The sequence below is a fragment of the Homo sapiens genome, chromosome 11, assembly GCF_000001405.40.
Source record: "Homo sapiens chromosome 11, GRCh38.p14 Primary Assembly".
Lineage (NCBI taxonomy): Eukaryota > Metazoa > Chordata > Mammalia > Primates > Hominidae > Homo > Homo sapiens.
In genome coordinates, this window is record NC_000011.10 from 99,289,063 (window position 1) to 99,302,819 (window position 13,757).

General features: G+C 34.4%; 1 protein-coding gene across 11 annotated transcripts in view, besides 1 other annotated feature; it reads left to right on the forward strand.

Annotated features, from left to right (window-relative positions):
- Positions 1 to 13,757, forward strand: part of CNTN5 (contactin 5) — a 1,337,937-nt gene that overhangs the window by 268,114 nt on the left and 1,056,066 nt on the right. The window lies entirely within an intron of this gene.
- Positions 1,498 to 1,667: an enhancer, noted in NCBI's record as "experimental_22162 CRE fragment used in MPRA reporter constructs". NCBI's record gives its function as "activates a minimal promoter by MPRAs in K562 erythroleukemia cells, with activity observed for both the introgressed and non-introgressed 11:99161376 variant alleles {active_cell/tissue: K562}" and the evidence as "EXISTENCE:reporter gene assay evidence [ECO:0000049][PMID:34662402]".

Sequence of the window (13,757 nt, forward strand, 5' to 3'; positions counted from 1 at the left end):
CCGATTCTCAATTCCTTGTCTCTATAATATAGATAATAAACACTTAGAGTTAGTTTTTCAGAGTTACTATGATGTGATAATACATAAGAAAGCACCTAACATATTGTCTGGACTAATAAAGATTCATTATGCTATTATCTTCCTTCCTCTGCAACTGTACCAGATATTTCTTTGTCGTTACTTATGGTTCATTAATTTTTGTATCTTTATTTTTTATTGAAGCCATTTAAATAGTCACAAAACATATTAATTAGGAGGGACTAGGCATAGACTGTTTGGCTAGAAAATAAGTAGTCTCTTATATTTTAATATTCTCAGGTCATCTCAAATGGAAGATCACATTACTGGGAGATCAGAGTGTATACATTGCTATTAATAGTTACCTACTTAATATCCTTTCTCTCTCTTCACTGGCAAATTTTATTCACTTAGATGGGCACCAATACACTCAACTAAAATATGTGATTTTTCCTTTCTTATTGTCTCTGATGTTTGAAATATTCTTGTCACCTTTTATGTATTCAATCTACTCCAAATTATGACCATTCTACTTTGATCATCATCCCTGTAGAGCTTCTACCTCCTTTTCCAGAGCAGCTTTTAATCTTTCAGACCCATTTTTTATCTCCTGACATATGCTTCTCAAATGTTCAAGGACATTTCTCGACAAGTGTTGATCATTGTAAAATATTTATTTTTATATTTTACCTGGCTATGAATGATTTCATGGAACTAGACTTTGAAATGAATGTGTTTTCTCATCATTAAATTTGGTAACACTTAGCAAGACTATGAATGGGATAGCTCTTTTTCTACAGTCATCTTGGCTTAACATCTAATGTGTTTGCATATGCATGATTATAGTCTCCTCGTGAACTTACATTACTAAGTACTTTTAAAATACAAATGCTTCTCTAATAATCATATTGATAATATTCCTTTTTTTAAATTGTATAAAGACATTCTGCTACATCTGAAGTTATTAAAAATGAACTCTGAATATTTTTAATACCTCCAGAACACTGTCCTTCTTATTTAAAATTATAACCCCCCCAAAATAAAATAAACTTAGGACCCTTATATACTGAATGCTTATTGAGCGCTTGCCACTTTATTTAGTTCATGTAACCCTCACAAAATTGAAGAAGAAATTGGTGTTGTCCTTGTTTAAAAGTAGAAGATATGGAAGCTTGCATAGAGACATTTTGTAAATAGCAGAAATTGAATGCAAATACTTGTGCTTGTAATTTTAAAGGAGCTGATTATGATTATTCTGTTTGATTACTATTTATATTCATATATGACCAGAAAAAAAGCCACACACCTCCAGGAATTCTTAAAGGTCCCACAAAATTGAGTAAACACAAGTACTCACCAAAGTGATTTAAGGCTACTAGAAATTTTCTGTGGGCAGCCTCATCAGAGTTCTCTGCAGGTAACATAGACAGAGGTGGTGTTTCATTTTTCATTCTACATTTACTACAGAAAGAGGTATTTACATTATTCCTTTGTTAGAGCTGAAGATCAGGTAGGGAAGAAGTGCATTACTTTTCTAGCAACTGGCAATTTATTTTATGTAAGATATAATGAGACTACATTTCCAAAATGATTACCAAGTATATTCCCAATCAATGGAATTGAAAGGTACATCATCAGTAAGCTTTCAGAGTCCATCTTTTGTATACTACGAAGATTCTTGTTATATTTCATATTTAATTTCCATGTTTAACTGCTTCTTCCAGTAATCACTGATGAAATGTCGGTTTGGTGAAAGTTTCTAACTTTTGCTGGTTTCATTAAAGTTATGCTTTAACTTACTTTGATAATTATATATCATGTTTATATGACACTATTGTTATAGCATAACTGTACTGTACTTGATATTCTATCTAATATACTCTATGATGTGTTAGAATACATTAATAGGCCCCTGCCTAACAACAGGTATGTGCTGCTAAACACAGTGCTGTGTCCAAATGTAAAACTAATTCATGACTAAGGAACATTGTAAAAATAACAGGCATGAAAAATAATGGGATTCTCTAATTTATTTAACAAGTGTAATAATCATACTATAAAAATGTGAGAGACTATTTTGTTAAAATGAAAACATTTTCTAGTGAGGCCATATTTGGATAAATACACTGCACAGATTAATGTTTCTGTTTCTCACTTTCTTCATTTGTCTTAATAAAGGATTTAAGAAAGAAGTTTTCAAAGGCAACTTCTTACTTAATATTTTATCAAGGATGGTATTTTTGCAAAAATAGGGTCACTCATATCTTTATTACACTGGAATAACAACACTGGTAGATAAACATAATATTAAATGGCCAATAAATTGTTTAAAACAGCATTTGCTATGCTGTGTCTTATAGGAGTTGTCTTTTCTAACTACCTTTGGCCCAGTTATTTTACGTTTTAGTTAGAAATAAATTTCTGATTTTATTTCTAAAAAATGTGCTTTCTACAGACATGAATCTACAAAAAACATGAAAAATATGATTTGTTAAAATAAATGTGACATTAAAATAAAAGTGTACGATTATATAACTTATAGCTATACATCGTATAATGTGTGGTTATCTCAGAAAAGTGAATACTTTGTTCTTTAGTTAATAAGAAAAAGAATTTAGCTGTTCTACCAGAAAGTTCCTACAACAGAAAAGATCTGTTTTGAATGTAATAAATGAGCCTGTAGCTAAGAAATGCATGTTGACTGAGCTTAGTGGATTCACACTGAGTCTAACAACGCCTTTTATTGATAATCTTCCACCATCTGCTCTGAAGATATATTCATACAAAGAAAAAAAAGCAGGTGAGAAGAAAGAATGCAAATAAGTGGCAATACTTAAAATTTGAATCATGCTGTGATTTTGCAAACTGGATTGATGCTACTGTTGCTTTTAAAAACATTACAATATTTGATGTAACAAAGTTGATGGTTAACTTCCACTTTCGGTCCATTTGCTTACATGAGCAGGAAAGTGCTCCCAGAAATGTCCGATTCATAAATTTAAATGATTGGTAGAAACAGTACTAATGTAATTTACATTTTGTATAGGGATAGCACTTTCATTCTGGCAAAAATAAAAGAATAATGTATATATTGATGGTCCTCTCAATAGAATTGAAAAGGCCTTTGACTAGGTATAAATAGAAAATATATATATATAAAAGCTTACAAAGTTAAAAAAAAAACACATAAAAAACTTCCACATTAATAGTCCCTTGAAAGGTAGGGAATCACTGAAAGGTAAAAATATGGTAGGTCAAAGTAATACTAAATCTGGGGATGTAAAAAGAAAGACTTTCCAGTGAAATCAAAGGAAAGACCACTTATGTGTAAGAAAATAGAGGAAAGGACGATTTGCTGTTTTCAGTTCCAATTTGAAAATTTCTTTCTCTTGTCGAATTGCTCTGGCTAGGACTTCCAGTACTATGCTGAATAAATGTGGTGAAAGTGGGCATCCTTGTCTTGTTCCAAATCTTAGAGGAAAGGGTCCAGTCCTTCCTTCCCACCTACTTTCCTGCTCACTTAATCCCCACTGAGTGTGTGTCTGGAGAGTCAAGCAAAACTCTTTTTAAATTTTATTTTTTTATTTTTTAAAGAGAGGACAGACATTTGAAACATTTTCTCCAAGTTTCCATAAAAAGCACTTTATGAAACAATCTAGGCTTACCAGCCTTGACATTCCCCAGCTCTCTGGACTTAATCACAAAGGGAGATGAGGCCAAGCCTTGGGAGGTAGAGTAGAAGAAAGTATAGGACTCCTTTGATGCCATCTACACACATTAAATGGACCAGCCACTTCTCTACATTGGGCCTTTATCTTTTAACTATTAAAGCATAAGGTTATTCATGTATAAGGCTGGCTGCAAAATCCTTCACAAATGAAAGTATACCCTGTAAGTGCACTTAATAGGCCCCCCTTTAATTTCTATTGTTCATAGTGGCATAAACAAGGGTTTTCACCATTCAATAAGAAGTTAACTGTGGGTTTGTCATATATGACCTGTATTGAGATATGTGCCTTATATACCCAGTTGGTTAAGACTTTTTTTATTATGAAGAGATGTTGAATGTTATTGAATGCCTTTGGGGCATCTGTGGAAATGATCATACGATTTTTATCCTTGATTCTGTTAATGTGATGTTTCACATTATCTCACAATGTATGTATGTAAAACCTATCTTGCATCCCTGGGATGAATCCCAGTTGGTCATGGTGAATGATCTTTTTAACATGTTGCTGAATTCACTTTTATAGTATTTTGTTGAGAATTTTTGCATCTATCTTCGTCAGGGATATTGGCCTGCAGTTTTCTTTTTTTGTTGTGCCTTTGTCTGGTTCTGGTAGCAGGGTACCTTGTAGAATGAGTTTGGAAGTATTCCTCTTCAATTGTATTGGAACAGTTTGAGTATACGTGGTATTAGTTCTACTTTAAATGTTTGGTAGAATTTAGCAATACAGCCACTGGGTCCTAGGCTTTTCTTTGATGGGAGAACTTTTATTACTACTTGTATCTCATTGTTCATTATAGTCTGTTCAAGTTTTCTATTTTGTCATGGTTTAATATTTGAAGGTTGTATATGTTCACAAATTTAACCATTTATTCTAGGCTTTCCATTTTTTTGGTGTACGGTTGTTCATAATAGTCTCTAATGACTTTTTGTGTTTTTCTGGTACCAGGTGTAATGTCTTATTTTTAACTCTGATTTTATTTATTTGGGTCTTCTTCCTTTTTGTCTTAGTCTAGCTAAAGGTTTGTAAATTTTCCTTATCTTTAAAAAACCAACTTTTTATTCATTGATCTTTTGTAATTTTTAAGTTTTCTGTTTTACTTATTTCTGTTCTTACCTTTCTCATTTCTTTCCTTCTACTAATTTTGAATTTGGCATGTTATTGCTTTTTTTTTAGTTTTTTGATGAGCATTGTTAGGCTGTTTATTTGAAGTCTTTTTTTATACTGTAAGCATTTACTGCTATAAACTTTCTTCATAGTACTGCTTTTGTTGTATCCCATAGATTTGGGAATGTTGTGTTTTCATTTTTTCCAAGACTCTTTAAAATGTTATTCCTAATTTTTTAAATTAATTCATTGGTTGTACAGGAGCATGTTGTTTAATTTTCATATATTTAGTGGTTCCAAAGTTTCTCTTGTTTGTGCCCTTGTTTGCAAACGTGACCTTCTACTTACAAAATCTAAAGACACCACCAAATAATTGTTAGAACCAATAAATAAAATTAGTGAAGGTGCAGTATACTAACTCAGTGTAAATAGCTCATTAGCATTTCTATGTGCCAGCAGCAAACAATTTGAAAAAGAAATTAGGAAAGCAATCCCATTTACAATGAGTATGAAAAATACATTACCTAGGAATAAATTAAACCAAAGTAATGGAAGATCTCTATAATAAAACCAGTAATATACTGATCACAGAATTTTAAAAAGAACACACAAAATAATGGAAAGATATCCCATGTTCATGGATTGGATGAAGTAATATTGTTATAAATTTCATATTACCTTAAAAAAATCTACAGATCCAGTGCAATCCCTGTGGATGTTACTGTTTACAAAACTGTAAACATGGCTATATTTCTCCATTATCTGCAATGCTGCGATTTTGGTTACTCTGCCAATGAGAACAGATGGAGGTGGAATGAGGATACTCCTTATTTAGAGCATCACAGACACCACTGTCGACGACGTTCAGTAGTTTCTCTTGGGCAGTTTTCAGCTATTTTTGTGGCTTTAACTGATTGGCAGAATTCTGAAGTTGCTTTTTTCCCCTCACATGTCCACTCTTTTATGGAAATAATAAATACACTGAGTTGGCCAGGTTTTCACTTACATGAGATTGTGACCGTAACTTAGGGCCTTAGCACCACTCTCAGTTACCATCATTTTGGGTTTCCAGTCTCAGAATGTCATTCATAGTTTACGGTGTCCTCATGGTCACACATTTCTTTCAGCTGCTGTCATTCCAGTTGAAGAGAGACCATTTGACTTTCTAGAGATGGCTGCACGCAAACATTTAAAACCTTTGAGAGAATACAGTGCACCAGGGAAATGACCAAGAGTTTAGAGTATGCTCCTTATCCAGGATTCCCATAAACCGAACCACCAAAAAACAAATAGGTTAAAGAATGAGCTAGCTGAAGTGTCTACTCACTTGACTAAGTAGTATTTTCATTAATCCCCTACAACTGAAATATTGTAATCTACATTTGATGTATTTCTCTATAAGCCACAAGTATCAATAGCTGCACAGGTACTTTTCTGTTTAGCCAATTCTATTATTTAGCATAACTTTTACAAGAGAATTTAAAGTCTGTTGTGTAATGATAGCCTTTAAAGTAGAATTTGCTGTAGAACCTATTATGAGTGAGACATTTCTGAATATTGCCACTTTTATTCTAAACCATGGAAAAAGAGCCTAACAAATGATGTCCTTCTAGAAGACTGAAGGCCTCCTGGCAATGTTCTCTTTAATCCAGGATGTGGGTTAAGAGTTTTGACTGATTGGCCGGGCGCGGTGGCTCACGCCTGTAATCCCAGCACTTTGGGAGGCCGAGGCGGGTGGATCATGAGGTCAGGAGATCGAGACCATCCTGGCTAACAAGGTGAAACCCCGTCTCTACTAAAAATACAAAAAATTAGCCGGGCGCGGTGGCGGGCGCCTGTAGTCCCAGCTACTGGGGAGGCTGAGGCAGGAGAATGGCGTGAACCCAGGAAGCAGAGCTTGCAGTGAGCCGAGATTGCGCCACTGCAGTCCGCAGTCTGGCCTGGGCGACAGAGCGAGACTCCGTCTCAAAAAAAAAAAAAAAAAAAAAAAGAGTTTTGACTGATTATGAGGCAACGTACGTACTACTAAAGTTTCTCACCTACATTGGGCCTTTATCTTTTATCTATTAAAGCATAAGGTTATTCATTTATAAGGCTGGCTGCAAAATTCTTCACAAATGAAAGTATACCCTATAAGTGCACTTAATAGGCCCCCTTTTAATTTCTATTGTTCATAGTGGCATAAACAAGGAAAAAATATTCAAAGATAAGAGTCTCGTGAGAGTAGAAGCCTTGATCTGTGATCTTGGGAAAAGTTGTTCACATCAAGGATGTCATCTTTTTCTGGGGAGAAGCTTTCCTGGTTAGTTTTACCTTAAGGGTTCCGATGGGTGTACAGTTCCAGGAGTATGGAGGCACCCTTCTCAGCTGTGAGATTATAAACCCAAGGTTCAAAGCTAACAAATTTTGCTGTAGTGTGAATGGCAGAGATAGTCTTTCTCTGATGTTCTCAGAAGATCCAATCTTCAGGTTCTAGATTGTGAAGAGATTATCCTCAGTAAGCCATAAAAAAGCTTTCTTTACCTGGTGAAAATACACTGTAGCATAATAATCTACTTTTATAATACCAGCTCTCTTGCATGGAAAAGCTGTTATACAACCAAAAAGCATGCACTGCAAATGACAATTGAATAAAATCTCTTTATAAATATTTAAATGGCTCATCAGGTAGCCAAATGTACCTGAAGCTTTGATTGTCTTCCCAGGAATATGGAACCAAACATTGGTTTTAGGGTGGAGCCCTTGGAAAAACAGGGCCAGGAAAGTGGTTTCTGGTGCCTCCTGTTTTTCCCAGGGAGTCCAGGCTATTAGAGCTTGAATATCCACTTTTAATTAAGCTGGTTTTTAACCATAGTACTCTTTAATGAAGTCCTTTTAAAATTTCTTATTACCCGATTTTAGCCAGGCCAAAAAGCCAATATTTCTGGCTTTTGAATTTTACCAAAGGTAACCTCCCAGGTGCCCAGAGAAAGGAAAATTTAAGATAGTGAATGGAGGAGAGACTAGACAAGGTTATGCAGATATTAAACCAAGAAGGGCTTACTTCCTAGGTGGGGAATTGAACCATCAGTGTGAAAGGCCAAAGTCTTAGCTACTGAGCTATAGCACAGGGCAGTCTCTATTGTCCTTCCCAGAAGGAGTCTAGAGTAGTTAAATTTGAACTTGCAAACGCTTTTAACTACTCAAGATAATTTTTAGAGCTAACTATGACATAAACCCTAACATTTCTGTTCCCTGGCAGGTGAAGACTAATAGAAAATACTGCCACATGGTTACAAGGTCAAGCTCCCAAGGACATAAAACAAGAGGGAGGAAGGCAAAATGATCAGGGAAGCCAGAGAAAGACCCATCCATTGAAGCGACACTGAAAAGTTCAGGTAGCTGCTTCTCAGTAGCAAAGGGGTCTTTCCCAGCAGTCCCATCATCTCTCAAGTTTCCCCTTTTAGGGAGGAAAAGGCTCCCCATGGTCAGCGATCCTGTACATCCCTAATCCTGTCACCCACAGCCATCAGCACAGAGTGCAAGGCAGATTAATCCAAAGAGAAGAGCAGATGACATGCTGTAGTGCCAAACCCATTCTTGGCCAAGAGGGACTTTTACCAAGAGCCCTCATTTTTAAAATGTACTTCAATGGATTGTTGTTCACTTGGAACATTCCACTGTAAGTTATCATTAGTAAGTTTTTGCCATTTCTGTAAGACTTCACTGCCTTCCGGGCCTAATGAATAAACCAGAAGGAACTCAGTTTTCTAGAAACTAAGGATCCCATTTTTACCTAAAATACTGGCTTCGATCTCAGGTTCTCTTGATTAACCTGGCCAATGATTTTTCATACCTCAGCATGCAAGAAAAATGAAACAAAGGGGTAAAACACAAAAATCCCTGGGAATTTTCAAAAGACAAATTTTATAACCCCTGCAATATTAGCGCTTACTACCAGTTTCTTTCTCTCCCAGTCAGATGTAAGAGGTCTCTAACTGGATCCAAGCCAGTTCATTCCTGTATCAAATCCATTCCTGGACCCAGTGCAGTTTCTGTTGCGACTCCAAACCCAGTTTGGATCAGAAATTTGCTCAAAGAAACTCGGAGAACTCAAAACACAAATCCGTGGAGCTCAGAAATCTGAGAGGGAGCTTATCCATGATCTCCAGCTGCTCTGAGAGATTAAAGGACCCAAGTGGGCCCTGTAGGTACCTTGCGTGTTCACTCAGTGCTCCTAGGGGTCGCTAGAAGCTCCACTTCTGGTACCATCTGATAAAAGAAAAACTTCAGAATTAATTTAAAGGAGTTTAATTGAGCAATGAATGATTCGCGAATTGGGCAGCCCCCAGAATCACAGCAGATTCACAGAGACTCCAGGGGTGCCTCGTGGTCAGAACAAATTTATAGACAAAAAAGGTAAAATGACATACAGGAATAGGAAGTGAGGTACAGAAATAGCGAGACTGATTACAGCTTGGCTTTTGCCTTATTTGAACGCAGTTTAAACATTCTGCAGTCTGTGAGTGGTTGAAGTATGGCCACTGGGATTGGTCGACACTCAGCCACTGTTAACAGGTGCATACTATTAAGATAGGTTTTCGCATTTGTCTGGCTATTAAGCTAGGTTACAGTTTAACCACAAGGACTCAAATATAGAAATACGGAATCTTTTTAGGCCATATTTAGTTTGTTTTAACAGATGGAAGAATCTGATACCAAAGTTGTTATAATATATTATCTAAAATGTCCAGTTTTCTGGCAGAGCAGGAACATCACCATCTCAGATAGGCACTGCCATTTTAAGTTCCCCTTGATTAAAAACTGCCTAAATCCAGCCCAAAAAACATCACCCTAATGGCTAATGTCAGCATAATCATAAACCTCAAAAGACACCTCTGACCAGAAACATTCCAACCCTGAGATAAACCCCCCTCCAACCAGAGACATGCCAGCCCCTAGGTAACTTCCCCTCCAACCAGAGACATTCCAACCCTGCAATAAAACTCTCCTCCACACAAAAACATTTTCAGCCTGTGAAAAGCTCTCTTCCTAAACCCTTAAATACCCTTAATCTGTAAGAGAGAATGCTCCTGACCAAAATCAGCCAGAAGCCCCTCTTGGGTTTATTCTCCAAAATAAACCTGTCTTTGAATTGTTGATCTGCTTTTCGTGTTTCTTTTTTCTATCTTCAACTTCACATTTTCGATAACAACATAAACAAAATACAAGACATACCAAAAAATAAAGGAAAATATACCACATATACAGAAAGAAAAGTACAGCCAACGGAAAACATACCTTAGAGGGTACAGATATTGGTCTTACTAGACAAAAGACTTTAAATCAGCTGTACTAATTATGTTCAAAGAACTAAAAGAAATTATGTATTATGAATAAAAATAATACATGATAACAGTGTCTCAACAAATAGAGAATAATAGTAAAGGAACAGAAGTTATAAAAAGGAACCAAATAAAAATTATAAAGTTGGCAAGTATATTAACAAAAAAAATTACTGGAAGGGCTCAAAACAGATTTGAACTGGCAAAAGGAAGAATTGAAGAATTGTGAACTTAGAGGTAAACCAATAGTGGTTATCCAGTCTAAGAAACAAACCAAAAAAAGGAAGTAAAGAAAAATAAACAGAGTCTCAAAGACATGTGGAATGGTCTCCAATGTCACTTATTGCCCATTGTATACCCATATATGTCCATTGTTTAGCTTCCACATATAAGTGAGAAAATGTGGTATTTGATTTTCTGTTTCTGAGTTATTTCACTAGGAGTGATGGTCCCCAACTCAATCCATGTTGCCGCAAAAGACATGATTTCATACTTTTTATGGCTGCATAGTATTCCATAGTGTGCGCATGTGTGTGTGTTTCACATTTTTTTAATCCAATCACCTGTTTAGGGACATATCATGTGACTGCTATTTGAAATAGTGCTGTGAGAAACATACAAGTGTAGGTGTCTTTTTTATATAATGTTTTCTTTCCCTTCAGATAGATATACAGTAATGGGATTACTTGATCTAGTGATAGTTCTATTTTTAGTTCTTTGAGAAATCTCCATACTGTCTCCATAGAAGTTGTACTAATTTACATTTCTACCAACAGTGTATAAGCATTGCCTTTTCTCTGCATCCTTGCCAACATTTGTTATTTTTTGACTTTTTAATAATAGTTATTCTGACAGGTTGACGCCTTTTATTTCTTTTTCTTGCCTGATTGTTGTGGCCAGGACTTCCAATTCTATGTTGAATAGGAGTGGTGAAAATGGCGTCCTTGCCTTGTTCCACTTCTTAGGGGGAATGTTTTCAGCTCTTCCCCCATTGACTATGATGTTGTCAGTAGGTTTGTCATATATGATTTTTATTATTTTGAAATACGTTTCTTCTCATGCCTTGTTTGTTGATAATTTTTATCATGAGAGATGCTGTATTTTATCTAATGCTTTTTTTAATCTATCGAGGTGACCATATGATTTTCATTTTTATTCTGTTCATGTGGTGAATTACATTTATTGTTTTGTATATGTTGAACCATCCTTGCATACCTGGAATAAACCCATTTGATCATGGTGTATTATTTGTTTGATATCCTGTTGAATTTAGTTTGCTTGTATTTTGTTGAGGATATTTGTATCTATGTTCATCAGGATATTTGCCTGTAGTTTCTTTTCAATGTGTTAAAAGAAAGACTATCGATCAAAAATTTTGTATTCAGCCATGCTCTCTTTTAAAAATAAGAGAGGAATTATGATATCTCTGGGTTTAAAACAAACTACTGAAAGAATTAATCACCAGCAGATCTGCCCTACAAAAATAGTAAAGAGAATCTTTCAGGCTGACATGAAACAGCAGTAGATGGTAACAGAAGTACATATGAAGAAACAAAAAGGGCAGGTAAAAGTAACAATAAAGAGATCATAAAAGACAGTGTAAACTTGTAAAACATGATGCTTTCATCTTCCTGTCTATTCAAAAAGACAATTTCATAAAATAATAATTGTAACATTATTGTGTAGAAGGGGTTATAATATATAAAAATATAATTTTTATGGCCCTAATAGTAAAAGTGGGGAGCAGTACCTAAGGTATATTGGAGTGATTATTTGGTATACTATTGATATTAAGTTGGTATTAATCCAAATTGGATTGCACTGAGATGTTAATTATAACTCCTAGCACAGACACTATTAAACTAACTCAAAAAATACAGTAAAATATTAAAAGAGAAACACTGGAAGTATATATTTGACACAAAAGTAGGCAAGAATCTAAGAACAGAAATAATAATACACATAGAAAACAAGTAGCAAAATGGCAGATTCAAATCCTACGTTATGAATTATAACATTAAATGTAAAAATGAGTTAAATACCCCAAAGAGCAGAGATTGACTGAACTGAAAAAAAAAGATTAAAAAAAGGTCCAAGATTTACAAGAGAGATACACTTTAGATTCAAAGACACAAATAGATCAACTGTAAAATCATAGTAGATATGCCCATTTAAGATATAATCAAGAGAACTGGAATGGCTATACGAAGATCAGACTGAATTAATTATAAGACAAATATTGTTACTGGAGACAAGAGGGGCATTGTATTATAAAAATAGTATCAATTCATCAGGAAGATATGATCATTATAAGTATTTATGCATCTGACAACAGGGTCTCAAAATACCTGAAGCAAAAACTGGAAGAATTGAAAGAAAACATAGACAATGAAAAAATAGCTGGAGAACATAACCCCATTTTTAATAATGTATAGAACCTCTAGGCAGAAGAGAAACAAGAAAGTAGAAGACATGTACAATTCTATAAACCAATTAGTCTACACATTTATAGAACATTCTACCCAATAACAGAAAAAATGTGCACTCTTCTTAATGTACATGAAACTTCTAGATAGACCGTAAGTTAGGCCACGTGACAATCGTAAATAAGTTTAAAATGATTGGTAGCATGTAAAGTATGGACTCAAAACACAATGTAATTAAATTAAATATGAAAAAGAGAAGAGAGTTTTAAAAATTGAATATTTGAAAATAAAAAACACACTACTAAAAAAACCCGTGGGCCAAAGACAAAAAGCTTCAGTAGGAGTTATAAAATACTTTGAAATGAGGGAAAAGAAAAACACAATATGTCAAAACTTGTCGGATACATTTGTAGCAGTTTGTAGAGAGAAATTCATAGTTATAAATTTCTATATTAAAAAAGATGAAAGATCTCAAATAAATAATCTTCCAACTTAAAAGAAAAAGAAGAGCAAGCTAAGTTAAAAGCAAGCAAAAGGAAAAAAAGAATAAATATTAAAGCTGAAAAGTAAGAAACAGGAAATATAAAAACAATAGTGAAAAGTCAATGAAACCAAAAGTTGGTTTGATGAAAAGATCAACAAGATGGGCAAATATTTAGCTAAAATGACCAAGATAAAAATAAAGAAAACACAATTTAATGAAATCATTAATGAAAGAAAGTCATCATTTCTGACCTTATAGAAATAAAAAGATAAGAAAATACTATTTACAATTGTATACTAAAAATTAGATAACTTAGAGGAAGAAATGGAAAGTGACTACTAAATGGTATGCTGTTTATATTTTTATTGATACATAATACATATGCATATTTTCAGGATACATGTGATAATTTAATACCTTCATATCATTTGTGAGGGTCCAATCAGTGTAAATGGTACATCCACCACTTAAATAATTGTCTTTTCTGTATGCTAGAAACATTAAAAATTTTCTAAATTTAGTTTGTGGTAACTTTGCAAGCCTTAATACATTGAAAATGAGGGAACTGCATGCTTTAAATGGGTGAATATTATGGTGGTATGTGAAATATATCTCAATGAAGATTTAGAAAACAACAACTATTAATCCTATACTTGAGAATTCTATCAAA